The following is a 14,979-nucleotide window of genomic DNA, read 5'->3' on the forward strand; positions in this document are numbered from 1 at the left end:
TCACTGCTTCTACTTAACTATTGAGATGACAGAATGAGAGCCTTCAGATGGGAAATCCTGGTTTCCAATGTTGCTTAAAGTCTTACCACTTTATTAAGCAAGCCTAAAGCTCAGTGGCAGAGTCCCTGAGTAAGCCATGTCTTCGTCTCTTTCTCCCTGGTGATCAACTCTGTACTTGGAGCATGGATCCTTAATAAGTATGTTTTGTTAATGAACAGTCAAACAGATAGAAAAGACTCACGAAACTGTTTATTGTATTCCAACAAATGATAGCTTTGAAAAGAAGCTAACCTGGTGGCTCACGCCTGTAATCCCAGCACTTTGGGAGGCTGAAGCGGGCGGATCACTTGAGGTCAGGAGTTTGAGACCAGCCTGGTCAACATGGTGAAACCCCGTCTCTACCAAAAATGCAAAAAACTAGCCGGCGTGGTAGTGCACACCTGTAGTCCCAGCTACTCCGGAGGCTGAGGCAGGAGAATCACTTGAACCTGGGAGGCAGAGGCTGCGGTGAGTAACCACTGTGCTACCCGTGTGGAGATCGCGCCACTGCACTCCAGCCTGGGCGACAGAGCGAGACTCCATGTGGAGATCACGCCACTGCACTCCAGCTTGGGCAACAAAGCAAGACTCCATGTGGAGATCACGCCAGTGCACTCCAGCCTGGCAGGAGAGCGAGACTCCATCTCAAAAATAAATAAAAAAATAAAATAAAATAAAATAAAATAAAAGGAGCTAAGTTAAAGTTGAATGCTCAGTTGGATAATCGTTTACTAACAATTGATAGGAGCTTGGCCTCTGGTGAGTTTCTAGATGACAGTGGTCTTAGACCTGTCTCTATCCCTTGCTGTTTTCATTCATACAGTAAAGAGGTTTATTGACTGAGCCACTCAACAACCATTTCGTAATATCTATGATGGGGATACGTTGATCTTTAAGGGTCCTTTCAACTGTAAAACAGCGTTGATGACATTTTCTGAAGACAAACAAACACTCAAAAGCCTTACTTCTTAACAGGCCTGTTGAAGATTTTCTTTTTCCCATCTTTGCCATCACAGGCTTTCTTTACACTCCCTCCACTCCACTCCACCCCTGCTTTTTCTTGTCCTAACTCTATGTCTACACCAAGGCTAGGCCCTTGTGCTTTTAGCTGCCAAACACCGTATACTCTTAAATAAAAACAGTAGAATTTGAGTAAAAAGAGATTTTCTTAGAGTTCTGTGATGGACCAAGCATGAAATGATACAGCCAACTCTACGAGGAAATAGGAAATAGGACCTTGAAGGTTCTTTTCAGAGTTAAACTGTCCTGTTGGATTGCTTGTTCATTTTAAGACTTTGACTTATTTTAGATATTTTTTTCAGATAAAAGTTCGGTGATGACAAATGAACTCTACAGTCTGGCATCTACCCTAGCAGACTATCAAAATTGAAATGATTAATATAACATTCGTCATTTGAGATAAATACCTTAGAAATCTCATTTAAAGATAGTCATGTAACGCCCCATGGTTTTCTACCGAGGCGTGCTTTCTTTGCTCCTATGTCTGTAGGGCAGTTTTCTAATGCAGTGGTGTCAGTAGTTACCGTAAGTCAGCAGTCATTGTGTGCAGCTCTAGTCCGAGCACTTTAGGTCTGTGGTAACAGTGACTTAGGTGTGTTGAACATAGTTTCACCCTTCAAGTTGTCTTGTCCAGCTGGGATTACAGAGGAAATGAGAATTTCCTAATTAGTCAGTTAGACTGATCTTGGATACTTTCATCTTTGCAACGTCTTGTCTTACAAGAAAGTAATGAAGCCGAGATTGTTCTTCCTATTTAGAATAGACCAGGGTGTCCACAAGGCCTCAGGTCCTTCCGAGGTGTCTTGTAACAGCATTCCACAACAGCTGTTCTGTTTTAAGGCTCAGTGCACTCCACAAATTCCAGACGCCCCATGGCTGCTACAGTTGCTGAATGGTGACTTCAGGCTTCACTTGGTTCAAGCCTCAAGGGGGCTGAGCCAAAGCTGGCATGACTTGCTCTTCAGCAACAAGTTCCAAATAGAGAAAACATTTCAAATACCAACTGACTGCTGCTTTCTTCAAAAGAAACTGCCTTCAGAGGAGAAGCTCTTCCCTGTGCTCATGATCCTGGTTCCATGACTTCCACAGCATTTTCATTTCCCAGCCCTTCTGTGGTGGGGACAGTCGATCTAGTGATTGTGAATAATTTTAGTGTGCAATGCTTAACTTTTACAAAACAAGCCAACAAAGCTGAAAATATTATTTGGATGATAAGAGGAGCAAACAACCTTAAGGAATATTTTTAAAGTGTGGATTTAAATTGAATCGTAATATTAAATTTTTAGGTTTGGTACCATGTACCTTGAACTTCAAGGATTGTTATTTACCAGTAATATCTACATATTAAATCTTTATTTAAACCTGATATCAGGAGGAGGAGGGTGGGGAGAGAATGGTCAATGGGTACAGAATTCCAATTAGAAAGGAACAGTAAATGCTGGTGTTCTATTGCAAAGTAGAGTGACATACTAGTCCCCCAAAATGATCTTAGTACCTGCTACTCTAGTCAACAAGGTATTATATATCTCAAAATACCTAGAGGAAAGGATTTTGTACGTTCCCACCTCAAATAAATGATAAAATATTTGCAGTGATGAATGTGCTCATTAGACTTATTTGATAACTACACAATGTAAATATGTACCAAAACATCACATCGTACCCCATAAATATGTATAATTATGTTTCAATTAAAAATAACTTTTTAAAAAGCTGATATATTTTAGCTGAGTGTGAAAGCTCTGCAAATACAGTAGAGTTGTTGATTAATTTTTCGTATTATTATGCATTTTAGGTTGGTGCAAAAGTCAACCGCAATTACTTTTATACCAACCTAAAATACGTAATACAATATTTACTTCCTTGAAAAGGAAATCCTTAATGCACATTTAAATTATGAGTTCCCAGAATAATGTGGCTGGTAAAATAATACATTTTAACCATTTTTAAGTGTACAATTCAATGGCATTAAGAACATTCATAATGTTTTGCAACCATCACCACCATCCATTTCCAGAACCTTTTCATCTTCCCAAACAGATCCCGTTACACAGTAATTCCCCACAGGAATTCCCGCCGCCCTCCCCCAACTCAGCCGGTTATATCCACTGTTCTACTTCCTGTCTCTGTGAATTTACCTATTCTAGGAACCCCATACAGGTGCAATCATACAATATTTTCCTTTGTGTCTGGCTCATTTCACTGACTGTGTTTTCTAGGTTCATTATGTTGTAGCAGGTGTGCAATTTCCATTCCTTTTTCAAGCTGAATAATGCTCCGTCTTGTATTGGCCTATTTTGCCTGTCCCGTCATCTGCTGCGGGATGGTGGTAGTGTTCGCGCCTGTGGCTTTTGTGAAGAATACCGCAGTGAAAAGGGATGCACAAGTTTCTGTTTTGGCATTGATTAATTTTGAAATGTGCCTCACTCTTTTTCCTATAATAGGTAATACTTTTTGACAAGAAATATTAAATATTTTTCCAAAAGTGGTGCAGAATTGGCATTTTTGCTGTTTTCATAATGGAATAATACTTGAATGGGTATAGGCCCTTATTGGAAGTTCTGGGTTCTAGGTTGGCTGGTTACAGATTTGTGTAAGTCCTCATGCCTCACTGTAAATACCATCTTCACGCAGTAGCGAGCCCTTTCACGGCACCTGTAAATGATTAAGTCAATGTAAAGAGAAGACTCATTATCCCTCTTTAGATAAGGCCAGGAGATTTGTGAGAGAGGTTTTTGCAAGTTCTGTGCAGAACTGCAGTATGGTCAAAGCTGAGCTGTTACCTTATCAGCTGTGTGTGAGCCCTGCAGGTGTTATGTGGACAGCAGTAGAGAGAAGTCAACAGATTGGATTTTTTTTCTTAATTTCTGTATTGGAAAAACATGGGACAACGGGTGTCTCCTATATTTAATTTGTGCTTAGATGTCTACTAGAACCTGATGAAAGTGTTTTTGTTTTCCAGTTAGGAAAACACGCTGTTTCGCTCACAAGGTTGAATGAAGATGGTGGTCTTTGCGCAATATCCATGTATTAATACATTAATAACAATTGAGCTTATAATAAAGAATTGTGCCCTTTCAAATTATCTGAACTGTCTGCTGTATGTCACATTTTACCTTTTTAGAGAAGTGCTAATTCATGTTAAGTCCGCCTGAGAGATTTGTTTAATGAGCAGATTAAATGGATGATTATCCCTCTCAATTTTTTTTTTTTTTTTTAAGGAAGGGCTTCTTGTGATGCTCCTCTGTTATTTGGCGCAGGAACACAGAGGGGTCTTTTTAAAATTACCCCTGCAGGGTCACCAGGACCCAAGCTGTTTGCTTCATTAAACCCTGGTGGCTTCTTTAGAGCCAGCCCCTCCAAACAGCCCTGACACAATTGTATCTAAATTAGCATCTGACTGACCCCTTTCTCTCCTCTTTTCAAGCCCCTGCTGACAGGGATTGGCAAAAGATGTTAATTGGTTGGGCCTGGCTTGGAACAATAGACTTGCCAAGATGACAAAAGAACTAATGTTTCTTTCAATATGCATCCAGATTCACATAAGTACCTCTTTTAATTCCTGGGAATTATTGTAATGCCTGGTCAATGGGATAATTGACCCTCAGCAGCTAGCTCTTACTCCATAATACAGCATGGCACAGGCCTATCAGAGTAGCAGGTACTAGGGTGATTTGCAGGGGACTAAAAAGAGATTTTCTCAGCCAGCGTTCTGTGATGTACCAAGGCAGCCCAGTGGGAGTCCCAGAGAGGGGACTAATTTGAGCTTAACAGGGGGAAAATGTGCTAAGAGCCACTAAAACTTATCCTCAGAATCATAAAGGAGTTGCATAAAGGAATGAGTTAGGAGTTTGAAAGAAGTGAGTTAGTAGCTTGGCAGCTTCGAACTCATATGGTGAAGGATAGGACCTGGGCCCAACAACTCTAGACAGGTGGAGACGCCGCAGAATGTTGACTTCCACACAGGAAAACACAAGGTTTATTTCCAGCACATACCTTCGCTGCTCGTTTTATAGAAGAGGCATTTCCAGTTCAGATGTTAGGCTAAATGAGCCCCCAAACCTTTTCTTATCTCACTCTTTACTATCCCAACTTGCTAGAAATCTTACAGATCGTTTTGCCTGGTACTGAGGCTCTAGAATTTGTTTTAAAAAATTAACTGTGGAGAAAAGGGAACCCTTGTACACTGTAGTTTGGAATGTGAATTAATACAACCATTATGGAAAACTATATGGAGGTTCCTTAAAAAGAATAACTAGAATTGTCATATGATCCAACAATCCCACTTCTGGGCATTTACCCAAAGATTTCAAATCAGTATGTCAAAAAGATGTTTACACTCCCAAATTAATTGCAACACTATTCACAATAGCAGAGTTATGGAATCAACCTAAGTGTCAATCAATGGATGAATGGATAAAGAAAATGTGAGACACACACACACACACACACACACACACACACACACACACAGTGGAATAGTCTTCAGCCTTAAAAAAGAGATTTAGTCATTTGCAAAAATATGGTTGGAATTGGAAAACATTATGCTAAGTGAAATAAGCCAAGTACAGAAAGACAGGTGCTGCATGTTGTCACTTACATGTGAAATCTAAAACAATCAAACTGAAAGATGCAGGGAGTAGAATGGAGGTTATCAGAGGCTGGGGATGGGGGATGGAGAGATGATGGTCAGAGGGTACAGAGCCTCAGTGAGACAGGAGGAATATGTTTTTTTCTTTGAGATATATTATACAGAGTAGTGAATATAGTAAATAATAATGTATCATACACTTAAAAATCACTAAAAGTAAATTTCAAAAGTTCTCTCCACAAAAAGATGCGTATTTGATGTGAGGGATATATTAATTTGCTTGATTTAATTATTCCACATTGTATTCGTGAATCATGGCATCACTTTGCACCCCATAAATACATGTAACTTGAATCTGTGAATTTACAACCTAAATTTTTTTTAATTAACTGTGTAAGTATGGTATAGTATGCACTACAGAGTAGTCTTACTTTGAGGTTTGGGTTGTAATTCCAATCAAGGTTAATGTTTAAAACTAGCTGTCTCCGACCTCCATTACGGTAACAATTGGCACTACATGGTGCTGAGTGGGAGCTTCATTTTGTGGTTATGACAGCCCAATCTGAGAAGGAGGTGTTTGTGGAAGCACTAAATGCAGCAGTGCGTTGGTCAACTGAGTAGCCTTTGAGGTCAGATAGCCCTGCGTCTCCCTCCCAACTTGTCACCTGTGTGACTTTTAGCAAGTTACTATCATCCCTACGTGTAGGTTCCTGCTTTCAAAAAGGGATAAAGAGTTAAAAATAGCAATTTTCTAAAGAATCGCAGAGCAAAGTGAGCTGATCTCATGTTATTCCATACAGTGCCAGATATAGAGTAGTACTGGATAGGCCATCTGTTGTCATCATTGCCCCAGGATCGCATAGCCAGGAAGGAATAGAGATGCAATTCACACTGACTGCTGTTTGACTCTGAAGCCTACACTGTTTCAGGATGCTGCGTTGGCAGTTCATTCCTAAAATTTAAGGGAAAATATCCAAACACCTCAAAAATGGTGAAAAAATAGAAATGCTTGTTTCCATCTTTTAAAAGAGCAAGTGAGAAAAAAATATATCCATTAAATATAACAAAATTCAGATACATCATTCTGACCTTCTTTGCCAGAAAATTATTTTCCTTTCATAAAACTATAATATACTTTTTTCTAGTGCATGTCTGCCATGGAAGGAGACCATTTAAGCAAGATATTGATTGTTAGTTCTCAAGTTTATTAGTTTCTCACAAAGAAAAAGGTCTGATTTATACACCAGAGCGTGGGGTTCATGCCACTGCCTGAAGCTGGTGTAGAGCATCCTTTAGGCTTCAAGGGTCTCAATCAGAAATCATGTTGTGTTTGTTCAGATGCTTGATCTGGCGAATAAGTTCAGTCTTTAGAAATTAAGTTATCTTAGGTTAATGTGAATCAAATTTAAAAAATGGTGAAAAGCAGCATTTTTTGAAGTGATTTGAGTTAGGAAATTAGTATAGTGTACAAAGTCTTTCTGAGCTTCTCTGGGAGCAGCTCTGGTTTTTATCCCAGAAAGTGTATCCTTTAGCAGGAGGGCTTCTAGCTGACCATGGAAGTCAAAGTTCTAGTCCAGCTTCATTACTAAGCAGCTCTGAGCCCTTGGGTGGTTTTGTCCATCACTCCAGGATGTTTGTTCCCTGAGCAGTAAAATGAAGGGACACAACCAGGTGACCTCATATGACTCCTCAGCATTAGACCAAAAGACACTCTCGTCATCATCTCACTTGATGTTTGTGCCATTAGATACTTATGGCTACCTCTGCTTCCTGAAACTCTTCTTTGTGGACATCCAAATTATTTCTTGCCTAGTTCCCTCTTATCCATCTCTTTCCATCTCATTTGCCAGTTCTTCCTTCCCTGGCTTCCATTTAAGTGTGTTTTTCCTTAGAGTTCAGCCCTTCCTGGATTTCCTGTGTTTTCCTATGGTATCACTTCCATTCCCATGACAATCTGCAATGTGTATGTGTGTATTAAATATTAATATAAATATCAAGTATAAATATCCAGCCCTTACCTCTTTCTTAAGTGCCAGACTTGGCTTTTCTAGGAACCTCTCCCACTTTACACCTGTGTGTTTACTTGGCCACCTAAACATCAACATACTTGAAAATAAAATCTATTTTCTACAACCTGTGTACTGATGAGCACCCTTATCCATCTCAATGCTCAGAAGTGGAATGTGGAAGGTTTTTTTATGCTCTTACTATTCCCTAACCTACACATCCATCTGTTTCCATCCCTCCTCTCCTTCACCAGTATGTCTTCAAATCCACATTCTCAATGCTGATGTACTGGTGTGGCCCTGTCATCTTCTGCTCAACTACAGCAGTTACTCCAAACCATAATCCCCTTCCCGCCATGCTTTACCTTATGGTACACCCCTGTCACTGCACAGACAATTGTTAAGGGTCACAGCTACCTACAGAGCAAACCCCAGTCTCCTTAGAGGGGCTTCGCAGTGCTCCCCCATGGGGCTTCTGTCTGCCCGCCTCAGCCACCCTTTCTTTAACTCCACCTCTTGACTCCAAGCCTGGAACCAAGCCATGGCTTTCACATGCCGTGCATCCCTCTGTGGAACGCCCTTCTTCCCCCTTCCCGATTTGTTAGGATTTGGCTCACCTTTCAAGCACCAAACTCTCATCATTTGTTAAGGTTTCGCCATGAAAGGTGTTACTGCCTGTGTGGAATCTTCTCCAAACTTCCTAGCAGAATTCATCTCTTTCTGTGCCGACCCACAGCTCTTAAGCATTTCTGTTCTAAAGTGCTTCTGTTCTAAAATTATGTTGCACTCTACCAGTGCATTGGTCCATTTATCATAATGTTGAAACAAAAACATGAAACATTTCTGTGAAATTCTTCTTTATAGAAATCATAGAATTTGTGTAATTATGTACTTAAACCCACGCTAGTGGAGCATCTGTCATACTGTGTTACCATCAACGGGTTGTGTATCAGTCAGGGTCTAACTGGGGACAGAGAAGCCAGGCTAATTATTTAAAAGATTGTCATTTAATTAAAGGAATTCATTGCAGATGTCATAGAGGGGACTGAGAGAGAACCTGGGGGTGAACAACAGCAGAAAATCGCCACCACCCTGTGATGAAAGGACCAAGACAAGAAGCAATAAATATACCAAAGCTCAGTAGCTGGGTCGCTGGGCTCATTAGCTCAGGAGCTGGAGCCCTAGTGGGCCAGTCCAGCAGGGGCGGGAGCAATAAGTGAAACATGGCCAATTTTGGAAACCTCCAGGCACAGGGGGAGAAGTCCTGGCTTCTCCCTTCTTCTCTAACCTCTTGCCAGCGCTTCCCACTGGGAGGACCCAGTTGGAAGGTGCTAGAAAATGCAGCCTGCATGAGTTGGCCCCTGCAGGGGTGAGGCAGAACTGACTCCAGTCCTAGAGACCCAGCACAGACCCAGGCTGTATCTGTCTCCCTCATGTGTTTTCTTAAACACAAGAACCTCATCTTACTTGCTTTTGCAACTGCAGTGCCTAGCACCAAGTAAGGTTTAATAAGTATTTAGTGAATTGCAATGAACTCTAAGGTTTCCTTCCAAGACTAAAATTATGTTGTTCTCTACCAGTGCGTTGGTCCATTTATCATAATGTTGAAACAAAAACATGAAACATTTACCAAGAAATTTTTCTTTTTTTCTATCGTAGAGTTTGTGTAATTATTTACTTAAACCCATGCGTTAGTGCAGTCTCAATCCTATTCCTTTATTAACATGAAGCCAGTGCTATTTATCAGCTCTTGGTTGGTTTTGAAAACATTTTCCACCAACTGTGCGTCAGATTAAATACAGGAAGGGAAATGGAGACATTGATTTAATAAACACTAACAATGTGACAGAAAGGGAAAAAATTATGTTGCAGACCATTTTCACATAACTCATCCTAAATATGCCTTTGAACAGGCTCCTGCTGGTCTGTGGCCAGGCCCTCTGCGCCACTCAGCACAAACCTTCTGCAGTACAGCCCACAAGGCCGTGGGCACAGCACACCGGGTCTGAGCCAGAGAACTGTGTCGACGGTACCAGCCTTCCTTTTTAAATTGTCTTGCATTCCCTTGGTGGGGACATTCCAAAGAAGACAGACAGTCCCCGCAGCAGGTGCATGTGGTGCTGGTGTTCAGCTGCGTGCATTTTCACAGGTTGCTGTCTTGCAGGCGAGTCAACCTTTAGCCTCACCCTTCTGTCACCAGCCCGCTGCAGAATCTTGTCGATTGCACTGATCAGACATAAAGTTATCGCGTCGGCTGTGCCATGGGATCCAATGTTTGATGTACGTGGTCCAGCGAGGTTGGAGGAAATCTTAGAAAACACCCCAAGTTCTTTGTTTCCAAATGAGGAAATCGAAGCCCAGAAAAGGGTCACTTTTTGTAGCTTTTGGCCTGTAACTCATGTCACTCCTAACCCATCATCATTTTTGTTTTGCTGCACAAGCTCTGGAAGTTGTTTTAAACCTTAACTCTGAACAGAGTGTTACACTGTGGTTGTATTTGTAAATTAGTTTGCTTCTCTTCTTTCTGCCTCCTCTTATCTCTATTTATGTTTTTCTATATACCTCTTCTTATTACCTTGAGACTTGAACTCAAAAATCACATGTTGGGCACTTGCTGAGTCCTAGATAATATCCAGGGTCCATATAACTTGGGGTTTTTTTCTGGCACCAACATCCTTATCATCAGTCCAATTGCTCTCACTTCAAAGTCCTTAAATCTTGCACTTATTTTCACTTCTTAGTGCGTTAACAGATTGTACACAACTCAGAAGGATTGACTCTAGCCGCCCATGCCTGGTAGTAACCTCTCTTCATGTCAGTAGAATTTTAGAGTCTTTGTCTTTGAAGTCATCCTCCAACCCAGGCCAGGGCAGGGATCTCTCCTGTCCTAGATATCTTCATGGATACAGTTAGCAAAGTTGACACCAAATGTTAAGCATAATGAGATTAGCCTGGTTTTCTTCCTTCCCTTGTCTTCCCTTCCCTTCCTTCTTTTTGTCCCCCCATTTAAAGACTTTCTAAATCTGCAGAGAACCAGTTTTAACTTACTCCGCAGCTGAAATTACCAGATGCAAAGTCAAGGCAAATATGATACAGTAGTAGTTGTTTTGCATTGATTATATCTGCTCCTCATAGTAACCCTGAAGGGGTTTTTATAGTCTGCATCTTATGAAGAAATTGAGAAAGACAGAGAAGAGGTAATCTACCCAGTGTCACAGAGATGTTAAGCTGCAAAGCTAGGCTATAGTCTTGGGCCTCATGGATTTCACACCTGCCCATTACACTGTGTCACTCACTCTACTGCATTAGGAAGTACAGCATCAGCTGGTGGCTATAACAATTACAATTCATACAAATAAGTGTAATTTCAAGACCAATCACTCATTAATGTTGACATAAATAATTTACTAGAAAATTCTATTTTGGTGAAGTTTTAAAATAGCATGGCTTTCACTGTGCTAATAAATATTTAAAGAAAGATGTATTTGTTTTTTCCCAGCAAGTATAAAAATAATTTCTTCAAAATTCGATGTATTATTTTAAATTAGTTAATAGATGTATCACAGCCATGGACTGCAGAAGTTGTAAAACCTTATTTAATTCTAAAATTTCTTAAATATCAGAGAATACATTTTTGTTCTTTGAATATTGGAAGCCCCAAAAGATAGTTGACCATGAAGAAGAAGATGAGGGAAATATGAGAAGGCAGATGTTTGAAGAGAATAATTATCTGTAGAGGGACATGTTTTTAGATTCAATGAATTCATCACTTGTAAAGTGGAAATCCTGGCCAAACCACATAAATGGATTTGAGCTGACTGCCAGATAAGGAGCATTTCAGAAATAAAAGGGCAATGGTGCAGCTTGAAGGATAGGCTTCCAAAAGCATTCTGATAAAAATAAAATGCCTCAAGATGCTCAAGGTTCCTGGGTGATAGATAGGAGCTTTTCCTGGGAAGAGCATCAGTTATTAAAATAGGAAGGAGGGAAATTTGTAACAAGAAATGAAGAGGCCAAAGTGTGATAGTTGTTGATTGGGCTGCATATGCTTTCAACTATGTGATAGTCCAGTTACAAGGTTACTTGTTGATGGTGGCTCCGTTGTTGCCCAAAGAGCCAGATCCATGATTAAACAAGAAAAAAGCCAACGTGGTATATTAACATCCAACAGTGAAAAACCAATGTCTGTTACCCAGGACACCAAAGGGAACCCTTCAGTCCAAAGGGGCTCTTAATTTGGAAGGGAATAAGCAGCAGTTTATGTTATAATATATTATAATTGCTTATTTTAAAGATAATTTGTCCTAGTTTGTGAAAGCCTCCCCCCCGCAACAATAAATTTTCTATGAATTGCACAAGTCAACACATAGAAAATTTGGATGCAGTGAAACCAAGGATAAGATGATTTGGTGTTTGATTGGCACTTGTCTCCCATCCCTCCCAGCAGCCGATCCTGGTTATTTCATTTCATTTTGGACCCCACTTGTAACATGATGTTAGAGGACTGCTGTATTGGTTACTGTGATTATTTTAAATAACTTATTGTGTATTCCTCATAAAAATTATTAAAGGGTGCAAATTGCACCCTGGGGGTTGGTGTTCAAATGGGAGCTAAACAGCAAGAAAAGGTAGTTTAAAATACTATTCCTCATAGGCAGAGATACAACACATGTGATCCCCAAAAGTAGATATGAGCAACTGTGTTGCATGAAAACCATAGATAATGAATTCTCTTTTTTAAACCTGAACTAAGTAATACCTGGAAAGTAAGTGAAATTCACATGTAAAGGAATGTATATTTTTCCAGATATGAAGCTACCCATCCTTTAATATGTTCTTTTCCAAAAGTATACATTGTCCTTTTTACTCAAAATGTTCAGGTAAGCCCACAGTTAAGACTCAGACCTGAGGGAAGACAACATCAGTTCATCTGGGGAAAATATAGACAAGGCCTCCGCTAAAGCATCCAGCATATGGCAGATGATGTCAGCCAGGGATAGCCACTTACAACATTTAGAATTGGTGTGATTCTTATCTGAGCGTACCCTCTCCTTTATAACTGTATTCAGATCTCCACATCTGAGAGACTGGAGGGATTTGGGTTTTGCATTTTTGGTTTCGGGATGTGAAAGAATGTATATCTTTCTGCTGAGGAGGGCTGTCTGAGCTCTGAGTTTGTAGAAGGTGCTGCGAGGTGGGCTGCGGGAGCCTCAGGATTCTCTACCCCTCCTCCAGCTCCTGCCCTAAGAGACTACAGTGTCACTTTAAGGGAAGTTTACCCTCCCTCAACCCACTTCCCTACTTCCAGGTCAGCCCTTACCTGTCAGAGCCCATCACTGCCCCTCATACTCTGAAACTAGTCTCACCTGAGTCGGCAGCTGGCTTTTAATTCCAATTCCAAAGATTTTCTGTATCTTTCTTATAGACCTCTCTGTACTTTTGTCAGTTTTGGGAGATTTTCTTGAGACAGAGTCTTGCTCTGTTGCTCAGGCTGGAGTGCGGTGGTGCTGTCATAGCTCACTATAACCTCGATCATAGCTCCCATAACCTTGAACTCCCACGCTCAGGCAGTGCCCCCACCTCAGCCTCCCAAGTAGCTGGGACCACAGACATGTACTACAAGGCCTGGCTAATTTTTCAACTGTTTATACAAACAGGGGTCTCGCTATGTCGTCCAGGCTGGTCTCGAACTTCTGGGCTCAAGCAATCCTCCCACCTCAGCCTCCCAAAGTGCCAGGACTACAGGTGTGAACCACTGCGACCAGCGTTGTTTTGTCTTGAACTCACTTCCTTTGGTTCTTAAAAACCCTTCTTCAGATTCTTTTTGTGTTCCAGCTAGCCCAACTCCTTCTCGGCCTTTTCCCTCTTCTGTAACTTACAGGTTTGGGTTCTACACCTCAGCATTGAGCCCGTAGATACTGGCTCATTCTTCCTGAATGGTCCTTGTACTCTTCTGGCTTCCATTCATACCTGCACGTGTATGACCTCCAAATCTAAATCTCTGAAAAGTTAGGTCACCCTTCCTGGTGCTGGACTCAGTGACCCAGTGCCCTCCAGATGTATCAATCTACACACATTATTAACACACACACACACATCCTAAGCTCGGCACTTGTGAAAAAGATGTCTTTGTGTTCCCCTGCCCACTTCCTCCTCTGCCTGTGTTTCTGCCTTAGTAAATGGCTCCACCATCCACCAGCTCACAGAGCCAAAAGCCGAAGTCCTCCCTCTTACCAGACTCATCAGTCACCAGGCCTGGTAATTTGCCAAGTCTCCTTGCAGGCTACCCTGCCCAGCCTCACAAGAACCTCACGGTCTCTGGCCAGGATGCCCATGGAGGCCCATCCTGCAGCTTCTGGTGCTCTGAGGCTCCCATGCCCTTCCTCTGCCTTTGACAGACTCCTTTTCCTAAATACTGTCAACATTTCTTTATTTTGCTTTTACTTATTTATGATCTGAGAAAAACTGTTCGCATCCAGAGGGCAGGCTGGGCCTGCCTGTAACCCCAGCACTTGGGAGGCCGAGGTGGGTGAATCACTTGAGCCCAGGAGTTCGAGACCAGCCTGGTGAAAACCTGTCTCTACTAAAAATACAAAAAAATTAGCCAGGTGTGGTGGTGCTCGCCTATAGTTCTGGCTACTCGGGAGGCTGAGGTGGGAGAATCTCCTGAGCCTGGGAGGTCGAGGCTGCAGTGAGCCAAGATCATGCCACTGCACTCCAGCTTGGGCAACAGGGTGAGATTCTGTCTCAAAACATAAACCACAAAACAAAACAAAAGCAGAGGGCAGAAACTGTATCTTCCTTCCTTGTAGCCTGAGAAGCCATACAGTCCTCTTTTCCTCACTCCCATTGCGTTGTAAAAGCAATGACTCAGGAATGAGATCTTAGCAAAATTTAACAGTGAGGCTAAAAGACTTTTCCTACAAAACAGTATGCTAATATTAGAGTACATATCATGGACTCTTTTTCCTCAAATTATCTGAAAAATTATCAGACATCAGAAAAACTGAGTTGAGGCCAGGCACGGTGGCTCACACCTGTAATCCCAGCAATTTGGGAGGCTGAGGCGGGTGGATCACGAGGTCAGAAGTTCAAGACCAGCCTGGCCAGGTTGGTGAAACCCTGTCTCTGCTAAAAATACAAAAAAAAAAAAATAGCCAGGTGTGGTGGCGGGCACCTGTAGTCCTAGATACTTGGGAGGCTGAGGCAGGAAAATTGCTTGAACCTGGGAGGCGGAGGTTGCAGTGAGCCAAGATTGCGCCATTGCACTCCAGCCTGGCAACAGAGCTAGACTCTGTCTCAAAAAAAAAAAAAAAAAGAAAA

At 41.5% G+C, this 14,979-nt stretch overlaps 1 protein-coding gene across 9 annotated transcripts in view, besides 2 other annotated features; it reads left to right on the plus strand.

Moving 5' to 3' along the window:
• ATP8A2 (ATPase phospholipid transporting 8A2) overlaps positions 1-14,979 on the plus strand; it is a 653,878-nt gene that overhangs the window by 534,691 nt on the left and 104,208 nt on the right. The window lies entirely within an intron of this gene.
• Positions 3,975-4,530: an enhancer, noted in NCBI's record as "OCT4-NANOG-H3K4me1 hESC enhancer chr13:26484777-26485332 (GRCh37/hg19 assembly coordinates)". NCBI's record gives its function as "activates a minimal SCP1, AML or CMV promoter by ChIP-STARR-seq in primed H9 embryonic stem cells {active_cell/tissue: H9 hESC(primed)}" and the evidence as "EXISTENCE:reporter gene assay evidence [ECO:0000049][PMID:30033119]".
• Positions 4,531-5,085: an enhancer, noted in NCBI's record as "OCT4-NANOG-H3K4me1 hESC enhancer chr13:26485333-26485887 (GRCh37/hg19 assembly coordinates)". NCBI's record gives its function as "activates a minimal SCP1, AML or CMV promoter by ChIP-STARR-seq in primed H9 embryonic stem cells {active_cell/tissue: H9 hESC(primed)}" and the evidence as "EXISTENCE:reporter gene assay evidence [ECO:0000049][PMID:30033119]".

This window comes from Homo sapiens, chromosome 13 (assembly GCF_000001405.40).
Source record: "Homo sapiens chromosome 13, GRCh38.p14 Primary Assembly".
NCBI classification, from domain to species: Eukaryota; Metazoa; Chordata; class Mammalia; order Primates; family Hominidae; genus Homo; species Homo sapiens.